General features: G+C 46.4%; 1 protein-coding gene across 48 annotated transcripts in view; it reads left to right on the forward strand.

Moving 5' to 3' along the window:
• TACC2 (transforming acidic coiled-coil containing protein 2) overlaps positions 1-27,392 on the forward strand; it is a 265,380-nt gene that overhangs the window by 33,326 nt on the left and 204,662 nt on the right. For 31 of the 48 annotated variants that reach the window (XM_024447756.1, XM_005269390.1, XM_017015485.1 and 28 more), the window contains exon 3: positions 10,606-10,665. The exons of 16 other annotated variants lie outside the window; for them this stretch is intronic. In XM_024447756.1, coding sequence (XP_024303524.1) covers positions 10,606-10,665 — 60 coding nt within the window. The remainder of the gene's footprint in view (positions 1-10,605; positions 10,666-27,392) is intronic. One more of the 48 variants, XM_024447758.1, reaches the window with a different exon arrangement.

Raw genomic sequence — 27,392 nt, forward strand, 5'->3', positions numbered from 1 at the left:
ATTCTCCTTCTTTCACTCCCCAAAGCGCTGGGATTACAAGTATGAGCCACCATTACAGGCATGAGCCACCAGGCCTGGCCTTACTTTTTATTCTGTCTTCTAAAACTGACATAAGAGAGATTGGCACATTTTTCCTAGGTTGTGTCCACCCATCAACTTACATGGATTTAGCAGAGGTTAAAATAAAACCTTTCCACACTGCTCCCCCAAATAAAGCTATGGCCATTAAAAATGATTTTGAAATCTATCAGTGTTGGGCAGATTAAATGTGAGTGGTCATTCTCATGTTAAACAAGGTTTTCACAATTGAAGAATGGACTTTAACTGCTTAATTGTGCATAGGCTGAGATATTACAACATATTCAAGTTTTTCATTATCTATTTTAAGTTTGAAAGTTTTAACTTAATGCGTTGGTGAACAAAATCAGGAAGACACTTTCTCATTTATCTCACACAAACTGGAAAATTTGGATTAATGACATTGAGTTCCTTGAACGAGAAAACTGGATCTAAAAACCCACATGCTGTAATTCATTTCCCTCTGCCTTTTTCTTCCCTACAATTTTTTTTTTTTGACAGAGTCTCTCTCTGTCACCCACGCTGGAGTGCAGTGGCACAATCTCCGTCTCCCCCCGGGTTCAAGCAGTTCTCCTGCCTCAGCCTCCCGAGTAGCTGGGATTACAGGGGCCTGCCACCATGCCCAGCTGATTTTTGTATTTTTAGCAGAGGCAGGGTTTCACCATGTTGGCCAGGCTGGTATCGAACTCCTGACTTCAGGTGATCCACCCTTCTCGGCCTCCCAAACTGCTGGGATTACAGGCATGAGCCCCCGCGCCCGGCCTCTACAATTTTCTTTTCTCAAGCAAGAAAACAAAGTGTCAAAAGAAAAGTTGTCAAACTCCAGCATCTTTAGGGGCAGGCCAGAAACAACAATTGTGTTAAAAGACTGGGTGTGACCATGGAATACTATGCAGCCATAAAAAAGGATGAGTTCACATCCTTTGTAGGTACATGGATGAAGCTGGAAACCATCATTCTGAGCAACCTATCGCAAGGACAGAAAACCAAACACCATATATTCTCACTCATAGGTGGGAATTGAACGATGAGAAGACTTGGACACAGGATGGGGAACATCACACACTGGGGCCTGTCGTGGGGTTGGGGGAGGGGGAGGGATAGCATTAGGAGATATACCTAATGTAAATGACAAGTTAATGGGTGCAGCAAACCAACATGGCACATGTATACATATGTAACAAACCTGCACGTTGTGCACATGTACCCTAGAACTTAAAGTATAATTAAAAAAAAAAAAAAGAAATCCTGAGGGGGGGGAAAAAAAAAGACTGGGTGTGAGACAACAGGGACAGGCAAGTGCTCTGGCAAACAGGGAGTTCTTGTCCTACTGTCTTAAACAGGGAAGCCACCATCAGCTCCAGTGGGTGATTGCCTTGTGGGAAGGTGGTGCCAATGTTCTGAGTTCAAAAGAACTTGGAAACCCATATTTTTCTATGAAATGTTAAGTTTTTAAATTAAACTTATTATTTTGAGATATTAGTAGATTCACATGCAGCTTAAAGAAACAATGCAGAGAGCCCAAGTACGGCGGCTCATACCTCTAATCCCAGCACTTTGGGAGGCCGAGGCAGGAGGATAGCTTCAGTCCTGGAGTTGAAGATTAGTCTGGGCAACATAGGGAGACCCCATCTCTACCAAGGAAAAAAATTAGCTGGGTGTGGTGGTGCACACCTGTAGCCCTCACTACTCAGGATGCTGAGGTGGGAGGATTGCTTAAGCCTGGGAGGTCAAGGCTGCAGTGAGCCATGTTTGCACTACTACATTCCAGCCAGGTCAACAGAGCAAGACCCTGTCTCATAAAGAAAGAAAGAATACAGAGAGGTCCCATGTACCATTACTTAGTTTTCCTCAAGGGTAACATCTTGCCAAACTATAATGCAATATCACAACCTGGATACTGACACGGATACAGTCAAGATAACAGACCATGCCCGTCACCAGGGGATTACTCTTGTTGCCCTTCTGTAGCCACACCCACCTCTCTCTCCTCTCATCCCTAACCCCTGGCAACCACTATTCCTATTCCCTATTGTTCCCTATTTCTATAATTTTATCATTTCAAGAACGTTATATAAATGGAGTCACACAGTAAGTGATCTTTAAGGATTGGCTTTTTTTCTCTCTCAGCATAAATCTCTTGAGATTTATCCAAGTACTGTGTGTATCAACAGTTCATTCCTTTTTATTGCTGAATAGTATTCCAGGAATAGATGTACTGTACATTTTGTGGAACCATTCATCCATTAAAGCTCATTTAGGTTGTTTCCAGTTTTTGTCTTTTACAGATAAAGCTGTCATGAACATGTGTGTGCAGGTGTTTTTTGAGAACACGCATTTTCATTTCCCTAAGATAAACGCCCAAGTGTGCAGTTGCTGGGTTGTATGATAGTTGCATGTTTAGTTTGATATGGAGCTGACAAACTTTTCTAGAGTTGCTAAAGCATTTTTCATTCCCACCAGCAACGTATGAGGGATCTGGTCTTTGGACCCTGGCTGTCATTTGGTGGTGTCACTTTTTGGTGTTGCTATTCTGATAGGTGTGTTGTAATATTTCCATGTGGTTTTCATTTACATTTTGATGATGGATAAAGATGTTGAACACATTTCATGTGCTTATCTGCCATCTACATATTCTCTTTGGTGAAAAATTGCTTTATGCCTTTTGCCCATTTTCTAACTAGATTATTATTATTCATATATATATTTTTTGAGACAGAGTCTTGCACTGTCAGCTGGGCTGGAGTGCAATGACATGATCTTGGCTCACTGCAACCTCTGCCTCCCAGGTTCAAGCAATTCTCCTGCCTCAGCCTGCTGAGTAGTTGGGATTACACGCGCATGCCACCATGCTTGGCTAATTTTTTTGTATTTTTAGTAGAGACGAGGTTTCACTATGTTGGGAAGGCTGGTCTTGAACTCCTGACCTCGTGATCCGCCCACCTCAGCCTCTCAAAGTGCTGAGATTACAGGCTTGAGCCACTGCACCCGGCCTATTATTTTTATTTATTTTATTTTTTTTTTTGAGATGGAGTCTTGCTCTGTTGCCCAGGCTGGAGTGCAGTGGTGCGATCTTGGCTCACTGCAACCTCCGCCTCCCAGGTTCATGCCATTCTCCTGCCTCAGTCTCCCAAGTAGCTGGGAGCTACAGGAGCCTGCCACCATGCCTGGCTAATTTTTTGTATTTTTAGTAGAGATGGGGTTTCACTGTGTTAGCCAGGATGCTCTCAATCTCCTGACCTCGTGATCCACCCGCCTCGGCTGCCCAAAGTGCTGGGATTACAGGCGTAAGCCACTGCACCCCGGCCTATTATTATTATTATTTTTTAAAGAGTTTTCAGAGTTCTTTATATAGTCTAGATACTAATCCTTTGTCAGCTCATAGTTTGCAGATATTTTCTTCCATTCTGTAACATGTCTTTTCGTCCTCTTAAGAGCATCTTTTACAGAGCAAAAGAGTATAATTTTGAGGCTGGGTGCAGTGGCTCACGCCTGTAATCCCAGCACTTTGGGAGGCCAAGGCAGGCGGATCATGAGGTCAGGAGATGGAGACCATCCTGGCTAACACGGTGAAACCCCGTCTCTACTAAAAATCCAAAAAAAAAAAAAAAATTAGCCGGGCATGGTGGGGGGCATCTGTACTCCCAGCTACTCGGGAGGCTGAGGCAGGAGAATAGCATGAACCCGGGAGGCGGAGCTTGCAGTGAGCTGCACTCCAGCCTGGGCTACAGAGTGAGACTCTGTCTCAAAAAAAAAAAAAAAAAAAAAAAGTATAATTGTGATGAGGTACAGTTGATCAGTTTTTGCTCTTAGGGGTGCTGCTTTTGGTATCAAACCTAAGAACTCTGCCTACACCAACATCCTGAAGATTTTCTGCTATTTTTTTTTTTGGCTAAAAGTTTTGAAGTTTTACATTTTATTTTTGAGTGCATGATTCATTTTGAATTAATTTTTGTGTGAGGTACACGATTTAGGTATTGCACATTTTCTGGGTTTGGACAAAGGAATAGTATCATGCAGGGTAGTTTCACTGCCCTAAAAATCCTCTGGACTCCACCTACTCATCCCTCCCACACCTCTCAATCCCTGGCAACCATGAATCTTTTTACTGTCTACAGGGTTTTTGCCTTTTCCAGAATGTCATACGGTTGGATCCTACAGTATGTAGCCTTTTCACATTGGCTTCTTTCACTCAGTAATGTCCATTTAAGGTTCCTGCATGTTTTTTCATTGCTTTGTCATTGCTTTTTAGCACTGAATAATTTTCCATTGCCTGAATGTACCGGTTTATTGATCTACTGAATAACATCTTGGTTGCTTCCAAGTTTTGGTGATTATAAATAAAACTACTATAAACATCTATGTGCGGATTTTTGTGCAGACATTGTTTTCAGCTCCTTTTGGTAGATACCAGCGAGCGTGATTGCTGAATCATATAGGAGTATGTTCAGTTTTGTAAGAAACCACCAAACTGTCTTTCAAAGTGGCTGTACCATTTTGCGTCCCTACCAGCTGTGAATGGGAGTTCCTGTTCCATATCCTCCCCAGCATTTGGTGGTGTCAGTATTCTGGATTTTGGGTCATTCTGATAGGTATATAGTGGTATCTTGTTGCTTTAATTTGCATTTCTCTGTTGACATAGGATGTGGAACATCTTTTCATACACTTATTTGCCATCTGTATATCTCATTTGGTGAGGTGTCCGTTCAGGTCTTTGGCCCATTTTAAAGTTAGGTTGTTTGTTTTCTTATTATTGAGTTTTACAAGTTTCTTGTATATTTTGGATAAAGTGTGCCTTTTGCGAATAATTTCTCCCTGCCTGTGGCTTGTCTTCTTATTCTCTTGAGGTTGAGATTCATTTTTGTGTCTGTGTATTTTTTTTTAACCTACGAATGTCCATCTTTCTAACAACATTTGTTAGAGTATTCTTCCTCCATTAAACTGTTTCTGCACCTTTGTCAGCAATCAGCTAGGCATATTTGTGTGGCTCTGTTTCTGGGTTTGCTATTCTTGTCCATTGATTATCTTGATTACTGTGGCTATATAATAAGGCTTGAAATCAGGTACAGTGAGTCTTCTCATTTTATTCTTTTCTAAAATTGTTTTTGCTGTTCTTGCACCTATGACGTTCCCTATTAATATTAGAATAAATCTATCCATCTCTACACAATACTTTCTGGGATTTTTTTTTTTTTTTGACAGAGTCTCACTCTGTTGCCCAGGCTGGAGTGCAATGGAGTGATCTCGGCTCACTGCAAGCTCCGCCTACCAGGTTCACGCCATTCTCCTGCCTCAGCCTCCCGAGTAGCTGGGACTACAGGCGCCTGTCACCATGCCCAGCTAATTTTTTGTATTTTTAGTAGAGACGGGGTTTCACCGTGTTAGCCAGGTTGGTCTCGATCTCCTGACCTTGTGATCTGCCCTCCTCGGCCTCCCAAAGTGCTAGGATTACAGGCGTGAGCCACTGCGCCTGGCCCATTGTTTTCTTTTCTTTTTTTCTTTTTTCTTTCTTTCTTTCTTTTTTTTTTTTTTTTTTTTTGAGATGGAGTCTCACTCTGTCACCCAGACTGGAGTGCAGTGGTGTGATATCTCAGCTCACTGCAACCTCCAGTTCCTGGGTTCAAGCGATTCTCCTGCCTCAGCCTCCTGGATAGCTGGGATTACAGGTGCATGCCACCATGCCCGGCTAATTTTTGTACTTTTAGTAGAGACAGAGTTTCACTATGTTGGCCAGGCTGGTCTCAAACTCCTGACCTCAGGTGATCAGCCTGTCTCGGCCTCCCAAAGTGTTGGGATTACAGGCGTGAGCCACCACACCAAGCCTATTTTATTTTTCATTATCATTTTTTGTAATCTTCAACATATAGATCCAGCATATATTTTATGATGTTTATACCTAAGTATTATGTTTTCTTTGGAGTGACCGTAAATGGTGTCATGTTTTTAAATTTGCTATTCATGTGTTCATTATTAATGTATTGATTTTTGCATGCTGATTTTGTATCCTGTGACCTTGCTGAACTCACTTATTAGTTCCAAGAAGTTTGTTTGTTTTTGTAGATTTCTTGGGATTTTTCTATGTATGTAATCACGTTATTTGCAAATAGGGGCTGTTTTATTTATTTATTCTTTTCCCATCCTGTATACCCTTCCTTCCTTCCTTCCTTCCCCCTCCCCTCTCCTCCCTTCCCCTTCTGTTCCCTTCCCTTGCCTCCGCTCCCCTCCCCTCCCCTCCTCTCCCCTCCCCTTCTGTTCCCTTCCCTTCCCTCCGCTCCCCTCCCCTCCCCTCCTCTCCCCTCCCCTTCCCTTCCCTTCCCTCCGCTCCCCTCCCCTCCTCTCCCCTCCCCTTCCCTTCCCTTCCCTCCCCTCGCCTTCCCTTCCCTTCCCTTCCCTTCCCTTCCCTTCCCTCCCCTCCCCTCCCCTCCCCTCCCCTCCCCTCCCCTCCCCTTCCCTTCCCGTCTTTCTTCTTTATTACAGTGGCTGGGACTTTCAGTCCTGTGTTAAACAAGAGCGGTGAGAGGGGACATTTTTCCCTGGTTCCTAGTCTGAGGAGGAAAGCATTCAGTCTTTCACTGTTAAGTAAGATATTAGCTGTAATTTTGTTGTTAAACATAATGCTTGTAATCAAGTTGAGGAAGTTCTCTATTCCTAGTTTGCTGTGGGTTTTTATCATGAATGAGTGTTCGGTTTTGTCAGATGCCGTCTCTGCATCAATCGATGTAATTGTATGATCTTTCTTCTTTGGCCTGTTGATATATTGAACTACACTGATTGATTTTCAAATGTTGAACCAGCCTGGTATAATTATTTTTACACATTGTTGGATTCAATTTGCTAACACTTTGTTGAAGACTTTTGTATCTAAATTCGTAAGAAATATTGCTCTGTAGTTTTCTTTTATGTCTGGTTTTTGTATCAGGGTAATAGTAGCCTCACAAAATGAGTTGGGAAGTGCTTGCTCCTGTTCTGTTTTCTAGAAGAGATTGTGTAAAGAAATCTTACATTTTAAAAAAATGTTGGCAACTAATTTCAATTATTTTTAAGCACTCTATGGGCCAAACGAATGTGCCTGCTGGCTGGGGTTGGCTTCGGGCACGCCTCCCAGTAATTTCCACTTAAAGGAATGTTCTGTCTTGTGTTTTAGAGTTGAGAAGGGCATAGCTATCGGGTGAGCGCCCTCAATGTGCACAGTATGGGCCACTAGGCATATTTTGGCCTTTAGTCCTGCTCATTAACAAACCAAGCAGCTCAGGTTCAACCCCTTCTTTGGGGTCTTAGGGATGCTTTTGGACCTCAAGCTCCCTGCAGGCCCCACTACTGGCTGCAAACAAGATAGAGCGGTGGGCAGGGGGTGGGGAGGGTGGGAGGTGTGTGATTTTGTGCTTCAGGGGACATTTAGCAATGTCTCAGGACAGTTTTTGTTGTCACAACTCAGAGATGGGGTGCCACTGGCATCTGGTAGGTAGAGGTCAGTGTTGCTGCAGAGTATTCTACAATGCACAGAACAGTCCCCCACAATAAAGAATTATCCAGCACAAAATGTCAACAGCGCTGAGGTTGAGAAACCCTAGAATACAAGAACATTTGGCTTAACTGCTTTAACAGAATGCCTAGCGGAGGTGGGTAAACTTCTTTAACCTGAGATGAATTTCTACCTGAATATAGGCAACGTTGAAAATGGGTTACATTTTTCTCCCCATTACTTTCACGAAATCCCACTGTCCAGAATTGAATGTACACTGTTTACTTAGCAGAGACTCATAGAAATGGAATTGCAGTGTCAAACGAAGGGTTAGTACTTTCAAAAGGCACTTGCTGTATACATTGTCAAAATGCCTTCCAGAACAGTGATGTCGACTTCTCTCACCAGGGCATGAAAGCCTGTGTCACTGCATCCTTGCAGGCGACGGATGTTCTAATGCTACATATGTTTACTAGTTAGGAAGGTAAAAATGCTGGTGTGGGGGTTCAATACCCGCATCCCACTCCAACTGTTCCTCATTTCTCACCTCCTACCAGCTCCTGACTCCATCTCCCCTCCTCAGTCTTCATTCTCCTTGAGTGAGCAGATGTTTTTCTAGCTCTGCAAGTTTTCACTTCTCCAACCTCAGCCAGACATGACCCAGTCTGGCAGAGGTCTGGGTCATGTCTGGCTGAGGTTGGAGAAGTGGGGTTGCCTTTAGGATTCCAGGACCAGACGAGGTCTGCCTTTGGTAGAGAAACAAGTAGGAATGAAGCATGGGTGTGTCTGGCTGTGGGACTCAGGGCTCTCCCAGGGAATTGGGGCTCCAGACCCATCTGTACCTGGTGACCCAGAGCCACCGCGAGTCCCTCCAACCCAAACTCAGCTTCTGCCTCCATAATGCTCAGCCTCCTGTGATCCCCCTCTTGGGTACCATGATCTACCTGGCCATCCAAGACAGAAATCTGCGGGTCAGCCCTGACTCCACCTACTTCCACCCCCCCATCTGATAAATCACACTATGTTTAATTAATTAATTGATGAATGGCCTGGCCATTTAGCCTTCCAAATTTCCAGCTAATTAGAACTTTTTTTAAGGTTGTAAGAGACAGAAGCCCATCTTCGGTGACCATAAGCAGAGAAAGGGATCATTGGCTTATAGAATTGAGACACCCACAGAGAGGGTCTGGCTGCAATAGTGGCTGAGTCCAGAGATTCAAAAGATGGCTCTGGGGATCCCTCTCACTGGATTGCGCTCTACTTTCCTTTGTGATTCCCCAGTGTCCAGGGAGGTGCCCCCAGCCTGGTGGAAAAGATGCCCTTGGCAGGTCCAGCCTTCCATGCTTCTTCCGGCCAATGGTCTAGCCTCTTTTTTTTTTTTTTTTTTTTTTTTTGAGATGGAGTCTCGCTCTGTCACCCAGGCTGGAGTGCAGTGGCACAATCTCGGCTCACTGCAACCTCCACCTTCTGGGTTCATGCCATTCTCCTGCCTCAGCCTCCCGAGTAGCTGGGACTATAGGCGCCCACCACTGCGCCCGGCTAATTTTTGCATTTTTAGTAGAGATGGGGTTTCACCGTGTTAGCCAGGTTGGTCTCGATCTCCTGACCTTGTGATCCACCCGCCTTGGCCTCCCAAAGTGCTGGGATTACAGGCGTGAGCCACCACGCCTGGCCCAGCCTCCTTTTTCTTTTTCGAGACAGAGTCTCACTCTGTCACCTAGCGTGGAGTGCAGTGGCACAATCTTGGCTCACTGCAACCACCGCCTCCCAGGTTCAGGTGATTCTCCTGCCTCAGCCTCCCGAGTAGCTGGGATTACAGGTGTGTGCCGCCACACCTGGCTAATTTTTGTACTTTTTTTAGTAGAGATGCGGTCTCACTATGTTGGCCAAGCTGGTCTTGAATTCCTGACCTCAGGTGATCCTCCCACCTCAGCCTCCCAAAGTGCTGGGATTACAGGCATGAGCCACCGTGCCTGGCCTCAGCCTTCTGATCAGACCCCATAAGGAATCTGAGCGACCCTGATTGTGTCATGTACCCTCTCTGAAGTCAATTGCTGTGCCCAGAATATGGGACACTCTGATAGCCATGTGAGTCATGCACCCGCCTCAACAGGGCCAAGATGGGCCCAGCTGTATACCAGCCCCTTCAATATCACTTGAAGCAGTTTCTCAAAGGACGTAAAGGCAGCACGTATCTATGACATGGTCTTTTCTAACAGTTTTTCTGCTCCCCATCCCTGCTGTCACAACTCTACCCTCTCACACCTGGATCACTGGGAACACCTCCAAACTGCTATCTCTGTCCCAGTGAGCACACTCCCCGTCGCACCCAGGCCCCTAGCACCTCAGGAGACTCTTGACTGTGAGTGCACTTGGAGGTCCCTGAATCCTGCTTGCTAGGGAACGTTTGGAAGGAAAGATGCAAGTCTGAAGAAACCTCCTGTTCACAGATTAAAGACCAGGCATTGAGGAGCAGCTGTGTCACTAGGGCAAAGGGTAAGGGACAGGCCTGCCCAGTCCTGGCCCTTGTGTACTTCATACACCTTCGGGCTTCTGGTTCCTCTTCTCTCTCTCTGTTGTCTCATTTCTGGGACACCATGGGCAGCATGGGTGCATGCCTCATGGATTTGGCCTGGGAGTAAAAACCATGGCCAGGCACGGTGGCTCACGCCTGCAATCCCAGCACTTTGGGAGACCGAGGTGGGTGATCACCTGAGGTCAGGAGTTCAAAACCTTCCTGGCCAACATGGTGAAACCCCATCTCTACTAAAAATACAAAAATTAGCCGGGCGTGGTGGCATGCACCTGTAATCCCAGCAACTTGGGAGGCTGAGATAGGAGAATCGCTTGAACCTGGCAGGCGCAGTTTGTAGTGAGCTGAGACTGCACCACTGCAGTCCAGCCTGGGCAGACACAGCAAGACTCTGTCTCAACAAAACAACAAAACAACAACAACAACAACAACAACAACAAAAACAAAAAAACCCCACAAAAACACCAAAGATTGTCCATCTGGTCCTGTTCCCTGCGACCTGTCCTAACGGTGAGATCCCTTTGCATTTCAGCAGGAGGACTCCGTCTTGCATAACGTCATTCTGTGGCCTCCAAACCCTGAGCCCACACAGGTACTGGGGAATGTGCTGTTCTGCATGGCTTCCCTCTCAGCCCCTTCCTAACGTCTAGATGGTTGCAAACATTTGGTGTGTCATGTGCATTTATATATTTAGGTTTTCTCCTCCTCCCTCTTCCATTGCTTCTTCCATCCACCCCAAATAAGTTGTAAAACACAGTCGAAATCGACAATTTATGTTTAGATTTTTTAGGATAGTATTTTAGTGTGCCTGTCCAAGAACTGGCTTGGTTGGTATGTTCTGCAATGCTGAATAAGGCTTATGTTGCCAGCAGAAAGGAACGTAGATGCTGGGAGCCAATACTAACCCCTCCAAACTCTTCTACTTTGATTTCCTTTGTCTGCAAGTGAAGCTGGGAATGGGGTGGTGACCCTACCTTTGCCGCCTGTGAGCAAAACTGATTTGTTGTAAAAGAAGATTAAATTCTGAATCAGCTGTCAGTGTCATGCAACAATGTGCTAGCTGAGTTCCGCTGCTGTGGCTCTGCCCAAAGTGTTTGCCATCCACTGGGGAAGAGGGTAAATAAGGAACTTTGCGTCACCTCACAGTGCTTTTTCCTGGAGAGGACGTTGAGGTTAGTGTGTGTTTAGGGGTGTGGTCAGGGTGAGGCTCTAAAACCCCTGGCTCCTCACTAGCCTGCTCTGAAGTCCCCTTCACACCTGGCCAGGCGTGGCAGTCATCCAGGTGAAGTGGGCTTTTAAAAAAGAGTGGGCCAAGTGCGGGGGCTCATGCCTGTAATCCCAGCACTTTGGGAAGCTGAGGAGGGCAGATCACTTGAGGTCAGGAGTTCGAGACCAGCCTGACCAACATGGTAAAACCCCGTCTCTACTAAAAATACAAAAATTAGCTAGGCGTGGTGGCGCACACCTGTAATCCCAGTTACTCAGGAGGCTGAGGCTGGAGAATTGCTTGAATCCAGGAAGCAGAGGTTGCAGTGAGCCGAGACTGTGCCACTGCACTCCAGCCTGGGTGACAGAGTGAGACTCTGTCTCAAAAAAAAAAAAAAAAAAAAAAGAGCTGCTCTGCCCCGGAGGATGGCTGTTAGGTGGGTGGTGCACTTGATGCATTTGTTTCTCTGCATATCCCAGCAAGGAGTGATGTTTAAGATTGTGAAATAACCATTTGCATAGAGCATTGTGAAGCCTTTTCATACATGAGTTCATCTGCTTCTCTTCATTATTCCATGAGCTGGGCTGATGACTCATGTTTTATAGACTCAGAAGTAGGCTCGGAAGGATAATCATCCCAGGTCATTTGGGTGAGTGGAGGAGTGAGAACTAGAACCCTGGGTCACTAAGGTTGCTGGCCAGTCATTTCCAAACTGGGTTGTGGGAAATCCTGGAGCCAACAGCAATGCTTCCTGGATCAGCCCAGAAAAAGAGGAAGTGGAGAGAGGAGAATCCAGTTCCCTGCACCCTGACCTTCCATCAGCACAACTTACCCTATACAGCCTTATACTGCAAGATGGCTCTTAGAAGAAAATGTTTTGGGGCCGGGCGCAGTGGCTCACGCCTGTAATCTCAGCACTTTGGGAGGCCGAGGTGGGTGGATCACAGGGTCAGGAGTTTGAGACCAGCCTGACCAACATGGTGAAACCCCGTCTTTACTAAAAATACAAAAATTAGCCGGGCGTGGTGGTGCACGCTTAATCCCAGCTACACAGGAGGCTGAGGCAGGAGAATCGCTTGAACCTGGGAGGCAGAGGTTGCAGTGAGCCAAGATCGTGCCACTGCATTCCAGCCTGGGCGATAGAGTGAGACTCCATCTCAAAAAAAAAAAAAAAAAAGTTTTGGAATCAGAGTTGGAAAGAAACACTGATCTGGTCCACCTCCATTATTTTTCAGTTTTGTGTATGGTGGATCTGAAGGACAAGGAACTTGCTCACTGCCATAAGTCAGTGGCAGGTTGGAGACAAGAAGCCATCTTGGGGGATCCTAGTCCAGGCTCCTACGGGTGTCCCTGTTAGGGGAAGAGCACTTTGTCCGGTTCTATCTCACAGAGGTCTTCCATCGTGCTTTGCAGCAGAGCTCAAGACCTCAGTCACAAGCTCCCACGTCGTGATGTGACGTGGATATGGTTTTTTATTGGCTTGGTGGACATTTGGGAAGCCCCTCCCTGCTGGGCATCTGGTACTTATTTAGGTGCTGTGATCTGTAGAGAAGCAAGACAAACAAGGGCCCTGCTGTCTGGAACTTACAGCCAATTGAGGAGTCAGATAAGCAAGTGAGTAAACAGACATCAGTGAGTAAATACATTTGAATCTTTATTAAATGTGTATTGTTTACCAGGCATTGCTCTAGCACGTGAGAATCAGCAGTGAACAATTCAGCTGTGATCTGCTCGAATGAAGCTTCCTTATGAGGCGCTAACAGGCAAAAGACACATCATAAAATTTCCAATGGTAACCATGGTCGGAGGGGCTATTTATTTTTTTATTATTGCAGTAAAATATATATAACATAAGATTTACCATTGTAACTATTTTTAAGTGGACCGTTCAGTGGAATTAAGTACATTGCAGTGCAACCATCACCGCCATCCATCTCCAGAACTTTTTCATCTTCTCAAACTGAAACTCTCTGCCCACATTCCACATTCTCCCTCTCCCCAACCCTTGATAACCTTTTCTTTCCTTCTCTCCTTCCTTTCCTCTTTCCCTCCTTCCTTCCTTCTGACTGGGTCTTATTCTGTCGCTGAGGATGGAGTGCAGTAGTGCAATCATAGTTCACTGCAACCTTGAATTCCTGGGCTCAATCAGTCCTCCCTCCTCAGCCTCCCTAGTAGCTAGGATTATAGGCATGCGCTACTGCAGCTGGCTGCTTTGTCTCTGTGAATTAAACTACTGTAGGTACCTCATGTAAGTGGAATCATACAGTATTTGTATGTGATTATTATTTCACTTCTGTGACTGGGTTATTTCACTAAAGCGTAATGCCCTCAAGGTTCACCCATGTTGCTGCATGTCAGAATTTCCTTTCTCTATAAGGCCGAATGATATTCCATTGTGTGTATAGACCACATTTTGCTAATCCATTCTTTTTTTTTTTTTTTGAGACGGAGTCTCGCTCTGTCACCCAGGATGGAGTGCAGTGGCGCAATCTCGGCTCACTGCAAGCTCTGCCTCCTGGATTCACGCCATTCTCCTGCCTCAGCCTCCCGAGTAGCTGGGACTACAGGTGCCTGCCACCACGCCCGGCTAATTTTTTGTATTTTTTAGTAGAGACAGAGTTTCACCGTGTTAGCCAGGATGGTCTCGATCTCCTGACCTCGTGATCCGCCCACCTTGGCCTCGCAAAGTGCTGGGATTACAGGCATGCGCCACCGTGCCTGGCAATCCATTCTTTTTTTTTTTTTTTTTAAGACAGAGTCTCGCTCTGTTACCCAGGCTGGAGTGCAGTGGCTGAGATCTCGGCTCATTGCAACCTCCATCTCCCAAGTTCAAGTGATTCTCATGCCTCAGCCTCCCGAGTAGCTGGGATTACAGGCGTGCACCATCACACCCGGCTAATTTTTGTATTTTTGGTAGATGGACAGTTGAGTTGCTTCCACCTTTTGACTATAGTGAATAATGCTGTGATGAATATGGGTGTCCACGTAAGTATCTGAGCCTCTGCTTTCTATTCTTTTGGGTATATACCTAGAAGTGGAATTGGTAGATCATACAATAATTCTATGTTTAAGTTTTTGAGGAACCACTAAACTTTTCCACAGCAGCTGCACCATTTTACATTTCCACTAGCAATATACTAATGTTCCAATTTCTCTACATCCTCACCAATACTTGTTACTTTGTTTTTTGTTTGTTTGTTTGTTTTTTAAATTACAGTCATGCTTGTAGGTGTGAAGTAGTGTCATTGTGGTCGGGGCTATTTTTGATGAAGTGCAGGGGACAGCTCTCTGTAGAGACCTGGTGTACTAAGGAGACAGCCACATAAGGTTCTGGAAAAGGAACATTCTGGAATAAGGTAACAGGTGTGTATGGTATAGGAATAGTGTAACAGGTATGGGAGAAATGAGCTTGCTGTACTTTAAGATCAGCAAAGAAGGCCGGTGTGGCTGGAGAAAAGTGGGTGAGGCAAATTATGGTGAGCTGTGCAGCCAGGGAGCTGGGTGAGGGCTCAGTTTTGTAGGTCCCAACCAGCCCTGGTAAGAAGTCTGGCTTTCTTCTACCTGTGGTACAAAGCCATGGTGATAAAAGAGCATTTCACTGGGATTTGAGCCTGTATGCTCACTCACCATGGGGGTGAGACTCCAGCAGTCAGGGCTCCCCAAGGAGGAAGCAGAGCAGCTGACGGTGAACTTGTGCCCAGCTCTGTCTGGGCTCAGCGGACTTGAGACTCAGCACTCAGCCAGACTGAGCTCCCCATAACCGGCCAATTGGAAACTGACAAGCGAAGGACTGGTTAAAACCAACCAACCACATTTCCTTGTAAAACTCCCTGGCTTTTGCTTTGTTGAGTCCCTGTGGCTTGTTCAGAGAGATGGTCTTTGAGCCTTTGCAGGGGCTGCAGTCCCTCATGTATACCCATCCGTGTGAGTAAATCTCCTCTGCTTCAAGCTCAGGGTATTGGGTTATTCTTTGCACCTCAACAGTCACGGCGCCTGAGTCTTTCTCTTGTACACAATGATCAAGGGGCAGAGCCCCTTAGCAGTGTTTGGCTCATTATTCTGGATGGGGCTGAGGTCCTGGGATAATAGAGAGCAAGAAGCCTGGGAGGCCAGAGGCTCCCAGGTGAGGCTTTTTGTTGGTTTTTGTTTGTTTGTTTGTTTGTTTGTTTGTTTTTGTAGGAGATACCTCAGAGAATAAAAGGAGTGCACTCAGTAGCACTGTAACCAAACCAAAGCTTCAGTCACTCACCACTTGTACAGTCCAATTAACAAGAGCTACAGGAGTTTGAGACTAGCCAGTGCAACATGGCGAGACCCCTGTCTCTACTAAAAATACAAAAAATTAGCAGGGTGTGGTGGTGTGCACCTGTGGTCCCAGCTATTTGGGAGGCTGAGGTGGAAGGATCACTTAAGCCCTTGGGGGAGAGGGGGCAGAGGTTGCAGTGAGCCAAGATGGCGCCACTGCACTCCAGCCTGGGTGACAAGAGTGAGACCTTGTCTCAAAAAACAAATAAACAAACACACAAACCAAAAAACGAGTGAGGGCTGACATGAAAAAAGTGACTTTTTATTCTAAAGCTTAGCTTAGGGGGAAAAGTACAGGCTTCTGCTTTTAAGGGCACTGCTTTGCTTTTGGGGCAGAAAGCAGGGACTTTTAAAGGGGGGACTTTGCATGCACAGCAGGTGGGGAGGGAGTGAGTAGGTGGGGGACCACTGGACTCACTTCAGTGCCTTATCCACCAGGTGGTCCAGCTGGCACAAAACTAGGTTCTAAGGTGGTCGTTGTCTTGAGACGCTCTCCAGGTGGGAAAGACTTCCGTCGTGGGCGTACTTGAGGTTGGAAATTGACAGTTGTTTCTTGAGGCAATCTCCTGCTGGGAGAGCTTTCTGGCTCTGGAGCTTCTAAGTGAGCACAGAGTCAGATAAGCTTGTCCTATAGGGAGTGTCTGGTGAAGGGAAGGTCAAGGTTATAAGGTTATAATTGCATTTCTAAAGCGCTAAGTAGGAAGTGAGGAACATGAGAAAAGAAGGAGAGAGAAAAGAAAAAAAATAATTAAAACCATTTTCTTTCTCTTAGAAAAATGGGATACTCAGTTACAGCATCATTGCATTAAAGGGACATTGAGTTTTGCAGGTGGGGGAAGTGAAATGGCTTAGAAAGAACATTGGCGGGGGACACAAGGTTCCTGACTCATGTGTTTTTTGCTTTTTTTCTGTTTTGTTTTGAGACGGAGTCTCACTCTGTCAGCCAGGCTGGAGTGCAGTGGCACAATCTTGGCTCACTGTAACCTCTGCCTCCTGGGTTCAAATGATTCCCCTGCCTCAGCCTCCGGAGTAGCTGGGATTACAGGCAGGTGCCACCATGCCTGGCTAAGTTTTGTATTTTTAGTAGAGATGGGGTTTCACCATGTTGGCCATCCTGGTCTCGAACTCCTGACCTGAGGTGATCTGTTCACCTTGGCCTCCCAAAGTACTGGGATTACAGGTGTGAGCCACCGTGCTGGCCTCCTGACTCTATTTTGAAACCATGATCTTCTGGGCTTGTGGAAGGAAAATCAGCCTCCCCTTGAGAGGGTTGGAACCTGGTAGGTTCTCAGAGGGCAGCTGGCATGGGTAAGGTGGGAAGGTTAAGGGTCTGTTCCGTGATGATCCTGGGATATGAGGGTTCAGGCTGCTGATCTGAGTGCAGAAAAAGGCGTGGGAATTGGAAGGTGGGGGTGGAGACAAGGTCAGATGAGGCAGCAGGGTCTGGGGCGGCCTGAGATGTGGGGTTGGGGGACAACAAGTGCCTGGGAGGACTGGGCCTTCAGGCAGATGAGGGAGGCAGGGAGGTAAGCACAACAGGACCTCTCCTCGGAGCCTCTAGGCAGTGAGCCGGCAGTTTATTTCGACAGTATTTGCTTTTGACACTTTTTGAAAACAATTAATTGCTGCATTAATTACAAACTGATTTATCTTATTCAAGTAGTCAATTTTAATAACATCACAACAGTCTTACCTTCCTATCCTGCCAACCAGTCACAGTGATTTCTTGTTTTGTCAGCACAAATGCTATTGAAACTCTGAATTTTAGTGGTAGCTTTGGGTTCTGTTCTCTGTTCCTGAGGGAAGAGAAGCCATCGACAGAGGAAAATTCCCACACTCAGCCTGAAACCTCTTCTATCTGCTAATTGGAGGTTCCTCTTACTGAGCTGGGGCCATGGAGCCTCAGCCCAGCCCCTTGTGGGTGCCTTTTGCAGCAAGCTGAGTCCTAGTTGTTACCCTTGCTCCTTCCTTTGGGAATGGACTCACTTAGGCCTCCTGGGAGGCTGTTCTCAGGGGGCTCTAAGCAGCCTCGGTTACTAAAGTACACTTGCACAGGTGATGTATTGCACCACCTGATGGTTGGAAATGAAGAGAAATGTATAACCACGGCTCTAAAGGGTGACTCGTTTGGGGAGTGGGAGGACACGGTCCAATGGGAAGTTGGGAGACTGTCTAACACCCAGCCAAGGGGGGCATCACCTGTTCCCGGGAGTGTCAGGGTCCTGGCTTATGTGTGTCCCTCTCTGGGAAAGAGGTGGTGGTGACGCTGTGATGAGAGCTGTCTCCACTCGACAGCCCTTCCAGGGGTTTCATGCATCCTGACTTGTTTAGAAAGCTCTGTGGTGAAATAAGGGCCATGCCAGCCCACAGCCCCAAATCCTGAAGGTGGGCTTCACAGTTGTTCAGTTCTGGAGAGCCCTACAGGGGACATCTGAGCTCCAAGCTCCAAGCATGTGGATTTCAGAAGGGAAGGGCAACCCTAACCCCTCCATTACCACTCTCTGGAGTTCCGCTTGGCCATGGGGCTGTCATGATTCCCATTTATAGCTCTGACCGTGTGGGGAGGAAGAAAAGACATTCAATCCTATTATTATAATGATCTCACTTAAAACATATCATCATTCAGTAACTCCATTCTAACACTTCTATTGTCTGGGTGTTTCTGTAACAAGTCCCAAAAAACATAATTTTCAACTCTAGAAACTGTGATCAATGCTATGAAGCAAGAAGACAGGTGCACAGACCCCAGACCTAGCCTGGGTGTCAAGGAAGGCGCTTCTGGGGAGCTGATGTTTGAGCTCAGAGCTGCAAATGAGCAGGAAGTAGGTGACATCAGAAGGACCCAGAGCCAGCTCAGCAGACACGCCTCCCCCAGCTTGGGCAGGTCCCCCCGGGTCGGGTCCCTGCTCTGCGTACAAGATGTGGTCTGAATGAGGTTTGCTGCTGCAGGAGACCTCAGCAATGTGGACATCTGAGGAACAGAGGACCAGGAGGACAGGAGAATCTGTGTATGCGAGCCGTCCCCAGGGTCTGGTCATCAAGAAAGGCTGAGGTTGTATGTTGCTCAGGCGCTGTGTGGTTGTTACTTTGCTTGACAGAGGAAAGTGCCATATATATGTGCACATCTTGTTTAAAGCTATGCTTGGTGCTCTACGGTTAACTTGAAGGTCCCTTCTTTAGCTCTTGAGGAACTCAGCATTACAGCAACACTCAGCCAGTGCAGGACAGGGAGCATTTCCCAATATTCCACAGGCTGCAGGTGGGCATCTGGGCTGCTTTAATGTGTTTAATGTGAAAGAAGTTGAGCAAAGAACAAGTTAAGCAGCAAGAATTAATTCAATCTTCATGACAGCACAGAGTTTCCTTTCTTTTTTTTTTTTTTTCTCGTAACGAGACAGAGTCCTGCTTTGTCACCCAGGCTGGAATGCAATGGCGCGATCTCGGCTCACTACAATCTCCGCCTCCTGGGTTCAAGCAGTTCTCCTGTTTCAGCCTCCTGAGTAGCTGGGATTACAGGTGCACACCGCCATGCCTGGCTACTTTTTTGTATTTTAGTGGAGACAGGGTTTCACCGTGTTGCCCAGGCCAGGCTCGAACTCCTGAGTTCAGGTAACCCACCCACCTTGGCCTCCCAAAGTGCTAGGATTACAGGTGTAGCCACAGCACCCGGCCTTGACAGCAGAGAGTTTCTTTACTGTCACCTGTCTGCTCCCACAGCCCCTGCTGTGGGGTTCCCCCAGCCCGGAGGGTCGGTGCTAGTTTTCACTGGCACGATTACGCAAGTGTGTGAACAACACGGCTCCAGGTTTTGGCCAGATGCATCTTCTGAATAAATGTGTAAAATGTTAACTTTGGGAGGAGCTGTTCTTTTCTTTTTTCTTTTCTTTTTTGAGACGGAGTCTCGCTCTGTCACCCAGGCTGGAGTGCAGTGGCGCGATCTCGGCTCACTGCAAGCTCCACCTCCCAGGTTCACGCCATTCTTCTGCCTCAGCCTCCCGAGTAGCTGGGACCACAGGCGCCCGCGACCACGCCCGGCTAACTTTTTGTATTTTTAGTAGAGACGGGGTTTCACCGTGTTAGCCAGGATGGTCTCAATCTCCTGACCTCGTGATCTGCCCATCTCAGCCTTCCAAAGTGCTGGGATTACAGGCGTAAGCCACTGCACATGGCCTTTTCTTCTTCTTTTTGAGAGAGAGTCTCACTCTGTCGCCCAGGCTGGAGTTCAGTGGCACAGTCTCAGCTCACTGCAACCTCTGCCTCCCGGGGTCAAGCGATTCTCCTGCCTCAGCCTCCCAAGTAGCTGGGATTACAGGTCCCTGCCACCATGCCCAGCTAATTTTTCTATTTTTAGTAGAGATGGGGTTTCACCATGTTGGCCAGGCTGGTCTCGAACTCCTGACCTCAAGTGATCCACCCGCCTCAGCCTCCCAAAGTTCTGGAATTACATGCTTGAGCCACTGCACCCAGCCTGAACTTCTGATTAACTGCTTTTGCTCTAAGCTGAGATAGCCAATGGGGCTCTTCATTAATGAGTTTTGAATCTGTTTCTTCTTTATACAGTAACAACCAGCATGTACAATGTCTACGTGGTCTAGCCTTGTCCTTTATTTAACCTTCAGAACAACCCTGCAGTTATGACCCCCATTCTACAGATACGGTACTCGAGGTGTAGAACCCAGAGACTTACAGCTAAATAAGCAGTAAAGCTTGGGTTTCAGAACAATTGTACTCAGCTTCCTGCCTGCTCATTCTTAAACCATGCTGCTGTAGCATGAAAATGAGTGGATACAGGGATTCTAGAGGGGCAAAAGAAATAAAGTTTATGTCTGCACTTTAAGTATAATCAAGTAAACATCACAGCATGGTACAGGCCATCCTGACATGCCCAGCTCTTTGAATAAAGAGACTCTCCCTTTTATTTGTACAGTTGTTGTTTACAAGGCATTCCTATCACCCACTGAGGTAGGGAAGGGCAGAGATTGTGGTCCCCAGTTTATTGACGGAGAGAGAGAGGCTTGGAGAGAGGAACTGATCTGACCAAGGGCACATGGATTTGGATTTTCTGACCTCATCCAATTCTCTTTAAATCATATTGTTTCTAAAATATTAAATACATACAGGTCATCAACATTGGGTATGTTTTTGAAGCCTTTAGTCTGCCACCTACAAACTACAGACATCAGAACATGTCACCTCTTACATCTTTGAGGTTCCTGAATCCTTTTAGGGTAATGGCCACCGCTTGTGACCCAAATGCTTCTGAGGAAGGGAAGGCAGATATGATTTACTAAATATCACTCATTCATTCACTAAATTCAAAATTCCATGAGGGTAGTAGGAACCATGTGTCTCTTTTTATAATTAGATTTCTTTCTTTCTTTCTTTCTCTTTCTTTCTTTCTTTTTCTCTTTCTTTTTCTTTCTTTCTTTTTCTCTTTCTTTTTCTTTCTTTTCTTTCTTTCTCTCTCTCTCTGTCTCTCTGTCTCTCTCTCTCTCTTTCTTTCTTCCTTTCTTCCTTTCTTTCTTTCTTACAGAGTCTCACTCTGTTGCCAGACTGAAGTGCAGTGCACAATCTTGGCTTACTGCAACCTCCACCTCCCAGGTTCAAGTGATTCTTGTGTTTCAGCCTCCTGAGTAGCTGGGACTACAGGTGCCCACCACCACACCTGGCTAATTTTTGTACTTTTAGTAGAGATGAGGTTTCGCCATGTTGGCCAGCCTGGGTTCGAACTCCTGACCGCAAGTGATCTGCCCGCCTCGGCCTCCCAAAGTGCTGGGATTACAGGCATGAGCCACTGTGCCTGGCCAAATTTTACTTTAGAGTATTTTCAGATTTATAGAAAAGTTGCAAAGATTGTATGGAGAGCTCCCATATAGATGCTTCCCCGGCTTCTCCTAAAGTTAACATTTTACACCATGCCTGTTTTAGTCATCAGTGTCTACCCAGAACCTAGACCCAGCCCTTACTATTCATGAGGCATAATCATCAAAACACACGTCAAACTCTATTCTGTTATTTTCCATCTTTTAAAGGAAGAGTGAGGACTCAAACCCAGCTCTCTCGGGCTTCGAAGCTTATTCATTTCTTCTGCTCTATCGTGCTGTATCACATCAGAAAACATTCCGTTTGCGGAAAGCTGAAATCCCACGCTGGCAGCCTTTCGCTTGTTGGCCTGACAGAGTGCCTGCTAGGTTAGGCTGAGGTGTCCTCTGCAACCTGTATTCGTCAATCTTTTGTACCCCCTTGGAGGGGAAGAAACATTTGGGATGGTCTAGCAGAACTGGTGTGAGCATTTGCCTTCCCTTGACAGGGAAGATGGGCAGCCGGCTGGCTCTAGCACAGAGCATGTGTTCATCCTCCATATTTGGTCAGCCTGGCAGTTGTTTCTGAAATCCGATTCCTAATGCCATGGGGATGACCTTTGGTCTGCTTCCCAGCATTCACCTGCAGTCAAGCTGCTCCCAAGGAGCTCGTTCAAAGAGGGGGCGACTTAGGCAGACACTCTGGTCATGATCTAACCATGTTAATTAAGCATGGTTTAATTAACTCTATTGGCATGACCAGTAAGCAGTGGTCTAGAGTGATGGAGCGTTTAAGAGGTAAGTGGAATTTTTTTTTTTTTTTTATGGTGAAATGCTTTAGCTCTTTACAAAGTATATTTTTTAGGACTGGAAAATTGCTGTAACTGTTTAAAGATTGCTTTAAAATAGACTCCAGGCTCTGGAGTGTTCCAGAGCCAACGAAAGACTGTTTGTTTACTCAAGCAATGGCAGCGAGGGAAAGATTTGAAGAAGCAACTGGGCGAGTCCACGTGTCCTGTAAGGCTTGCCAATTGTTTTTCCAGCCTGCGATTTGGAAGTGTAAAGGGTAACTTTAGAAATGCATGCTGTTTTGCAGTGACGCCTGCTGACACACAGGTCCTTTGGAATCCAGTAAGCAATAGAGCTTAAGACTATCTCTAAGACGGGGAACAGGAAGGGGGATTCAAAAGCACAGGGAAATGTGGCAAAAGCGAGAGTTCCCAGGGCTGAGGGTACGTCTTTCGATTTGCAGACATGGCCACCAGACTAAATAAGAATAATCTACTTTTCATACATTCAACAAATATTTATGGACTGCCTCTTCTGTGCCAGGTGCTATTCTGGGCATCAAATCTAGGCTCCTATACCACATTATTCTCAAATGTCCAATTGCTATAATTCCTTGGAGCATAGCAGCAAAATGGCAGAGGCCATAGAGCAACGAATTCCACTGTATGGCGAAGCAGCGTAAGGCAGGGACAAGAGCACAGACTCTGGAGCCAAACCATCCTGGTCCAAATCCTGGCTCCACCACTTCCAAGCTGTGTGATCTTGGGCAAGTGGCTTAACCTCTCTGTGCCCAGTATTCTTAGCTATAACATCGGGCTCTAAGGATTGAATGAGTTTAAATATGTAAAGCACTTAAAAGAGCAGTACTAGACACACAGAAAGTGTTCCTAATAATTAGGTTGCTGCTGTCGTAGCAGAAAGAGAGCTATGTAAATGCTGGGTGTCAGTATTCTTGTGGAAAGAGCACTGGACTTCAAGGTGGGAGACTTGCAGAGGGCAGAAGGCAAGCCTCTCTGTTTCTTATCTGGAAAATGGAAAACATGATTTTACCTGCCTGGTATAGCTCACGGGGATTTTATAAGAATCAAATGGATGTCAAAGAGCTTTGAAAAGTGCAATGTGCCATTCATACAGATAGTTTTGTTGCTTTTAACTCCATCCAGATATGTTTGTGTTGGGGAGAACTAGTATCATTCTTGCAGATTAGCTTTCTATTAGAAAAAGAAGTGGGCCGGGTGCCATGGCTCATGCCTGTAATCCCGGCACTTTGGGAGGCCAAGGCGCATGGATCACGAGTCAGGAGATCGAGACCAGCCTGCCAACATGGTGAGACCCCCATCTCTACTAAAAAAAAATACAAAATTAGCTGGGTGTGGTGGTGCATGCCTGTAGTCCCAGCTGTTCGGGAGGCTGAGGCAGGAGAATTGCTTGAACCCGGGAAGCGGAGGTTGCAGTGAGCTGAGATCACGCCATTGCACTCCAGCCTGGGCAACAAGAGCAAAACTCCATCTCAAAAATCATAATAATAGGGCTGGGTGTGGTGGCTCACGCCTGTAATCCCAGCACTTTGGGAGGCCGAGGCGGGTGGATCTCGAGGCCAGGAGATTGAGACCATCCTGGCTAACACGGTGAAACCCCGTCTCTACTAAAAATACAAAAAATTAGCCGGGCGTGGTGGTGGGCGCCTGTAGTCCCAGCTGCTCGGGAGGCTGAGGCCGGATAATCACTTGAACCCAGGAGGCGGAGCTTACAGTGAGCCAAGATCTCGCCACTGCACTCCAGCCTGGGTGACAGAGTGAGACTCTGTCTCAAAATATAATAATAAAAATAAATAATAATTAAAAAAAGAAAAAAAGAAAGAGAAGTGGAGCTGAAAAGGGAGAGACGCCTGCCTTTTGTTTTTTTCTTCAAAGACAAATCCAAGCCCTTGTTATAGTCCATCTGCCTGAGGAAATATAGCCCGTGGTCCCTTTCTTCTCCTGGACTTGGAGCAAAGATCTGTCTCCTTATTCCATCTGTTGTTTGCATCTGTCTGGGCTATTATTTGTCTTCTTTCCAGAATTAAAAGAAATCTTGCTCATGGAATACTGGGCATGAGATTTATCTGTTAAATTATTTGCAGAATATTTTACTGCAGGTCATCTTGTGATTGAAAGGGGGGCCTGGCCTCAGGTGTTAGTTGCTGAGGTTTGCATGGCGGTCAGACAAGTAGGAATTGGGTTAAAATTTCAAAAATGCAGGACCCTGATATAAAAATGCCACTCACTCAGTATTGTTAATCTTGAGTTATTATAGTAAAATGTGAGAATCATGCTTCCAAAGATTTATAATTTATAGATAAAGAATCTTGGCCGGGTGTGGTGGCACCTGTAATTCCAGCACTTTGGGAGGCTGAGGCGGGCAGATCACAAGGTCAGGAGTTCGAGACTAGCCTGGCCAATATGGTGAAACCCCGTCTCTACTAAAAATACAAAAATTAGCCGGGTGTGGTGGTGGGCACCTGTAGTCCCAGCTACTTAGGAGGCTGAGGCAGGAGAATCGCTTGAATCCGGGAAGCACAGGTTGCAGCGATCCGAGATGGTGCCACCAAACTCCAGCCTGGGCAACAGAGCGAGACTCCGTCTCAAAAAAAAAAAAAAAAAAAAAAAAAAAGAATCTTTCTTTGAAAATGAAGATTATAGAGTGTGAACTTAAGGTGATTTAAAGTTTCCATGGTCTTGATAATGTCCTATGGGGATGATTGTCTTCTTGGATGCACAGATGAAGAGGCTGAGACCCCTCAGGGGGGGGCAGGGGCACTCGTTAAGGGAATGGCTCAGCCTGCAGGGAGGTCAAGCCAACCCCAGGTCAGCAGCCCCCTCTCGTGTGAGGAACCATCCCCAGCTCTTTCTGCCTCCTTCAACACTGCCCCGTGGAAGGGATCAAACAGAGACGCCCTGTCCTGGCTCTGGGATCAGAGATAATCGGTTATGTCTAGATTCCACTGCTGTGTGGTCTTGGCCCAGTTACTAAACCTCTCAGAGCCTCAGCTCTAAAACAGGAACACAAATATCCATCTTTCCCTTAAGACAGTTGTGCAAATTCAATGACATAGTTCATGGAAAGATACTGGCCCAGTGCCTGGCATTAGTAAGTGCTCAATAACAGGAGCATTTATTGCTGTTGTTCTCTTTCCCCCACATTCTATCCTTCAGCTAAAATGAAGGAAAATTTTTGCATTGTAGTGTTCATGTTGGCACTAGACTGTATGGGTACCTGAGAGATGAAGCATCTTTTATGTTTTACCTTTGGACACAATGGGATGAACACAGATAGCCAACCACTCAGGGAAATGCACCAGGTAGGGGAACCTTAGCCAAAGCTAGCTTGCTCTTCGGGCTGGTGTCTGAAGGTCAAGGACTACAGCCCATCCAACAAGTCTGACGGTCTCAAGAAGTCCCCAGGTGCAGACTAGGCAGATGATTTGCTTTCACATGTCCTGCAGAAACGTCAAGATTAATTTACAAAATCCATAGGCTAGAGGTTGGTAGAGTTTGATGAGTGGGGACCCTCCCTTCCTGGGGGACCTTGGGGGCTGTCTGCTTCACCTCCAGGCAGGAGCCATACCTACTATCTTCCTGGGGTGCCCTCTGTGTGCACACCCCTGCAGCCATGGGACTGGGGTCTGTCTCCCTAGACTGTGAGCAACGTGAGAGGAGGAATGGAGCCTTATTTTTTTTTTCTCCTCCCTTTCCTTCCTTCCTCCCTCCCTCCCTTCCTTCCCTCCTTGCTTCCTCCCTCCCTCCCTCCCTCCCTTCTTTCCCTCCTACCCTCTCTCCTTCCCTCTCTCCCTCTTCCTTTCTTTTCCTTTCCCCTATTTGTTTCTGTTTCTGTTTTGTAGAGATGGGTTTCTCCATGTTGCCCAGGCTGGTCTCGAACTCCTGGGCTCAAGCAGTCTTCCCACCTCGCCTTCCCAAAGTGCTGGGATTGCAGGCATGAGCCACCGCACCCGGCTGGGGAGGCAGTTTCTAATTCACACAATGGCATTGTCTGCTCCCAGGCCATGCATTTGGCCCAGAAGAGTGCCACCTTCTGATTTTCACAAAGGTGCCCATGGGCTAGGGAATGTCTGTCGTACAGATTTGCACCATCTGCTAGATTTAAGCAAGGTAGAAAGAAATGAGCTCTTGTGCTGTCTTCAAATGTGTGTTCCATGTAACGCGAGTTCTATAAGATGTTAAACTGTGGTACATAAACAAAGAGTCCTGTGGTCAAGAAATTCTGGCAAACTCTGAGTTAAAATTCAGTAAGTTATTCTGCTGTAGAACTCAGAATTTTTACTATGCTAATGTGCATTGTGAATTTCTAAAGGAGGCCTATATTATGTAGCACTTGTCAAAGGTGTTTGACCAGGGAGTACTTTGTTTTCCTCCAAGCTGATCTGGTGCAGCTCATCTGGATGAGAGGTGGACCGGGGAATGCACTCTCAGTTGCTAGTGACAGAAATTCAGCTTGTACCCACCTGCTAAGGTGAAAAGGGCAATGCATGCGGCCTCATCATAGAGCTCCCAGATGGCTAGGGCAGAATGAGGCCTTGGCCCCAGCAGGGCTGCTCCCTCTGCCTGGCATCTCGGCTTTTCTCTGCCTGCGAGCTCTGCCATCTCTTTCTGTGGCGGTTTCGTCCACCACAGCTGGAAACAAGGCTGCAGGTGACTTCCCGACTCACCTTCTATAGAACCCCCCACCAGAACTGCCCTGGTTCTTCAGGGAATCCCGTAGAAGGTCCTGGCTTGACCGGAGTCTCATGTACACTCCAGTGGGCAGGGACATGGGGCACTATGACTGGCATTTTCCATGAGAACCTCAGGGATGGAGGGTATGGGTGGAACTGTTCTTGAAAGAAGGCAGACCCCATCCCAGAACAAGGGGTGCATGTTGTTTGGGGTGGGGGCACAGGGTCGCCGCTGGGGAAACAAAATGAAAGACAACCACTGCTTTGGGAAATACAGCTTGGAGCTTACAAAAGCCCTTTCCCTTCTTCTGATTTTTATATTATACTAAAATAGCATCATTTAAATGAGGTTCTGTTTTTTTTTTTTAATTTTAAATCTCATCTCTGTCCTGTGATTTAAAGTTTTGACTGAGCCTTATATTTTTGCATCCTGGTTTTAAAAATCAACTAGTCTGTAGGAATATGGTTTATAAAAACAACAACAACAAATCAACTAACCGGTGGAC

The sequence above is a fragment of the Homo sapiens genome, chromosome 10 (assembly GCF_000001405.40).
Source record: "Homo sapiens chromosome 10, GRCh38.p14 Primary Assembly".
In the NCBI taxonomy this organism is placed as follows: Eukaryota; Metazoa; Chordata; class Mammalia; order Primates; family Hominidae; genus Homo; species Homo sapiens.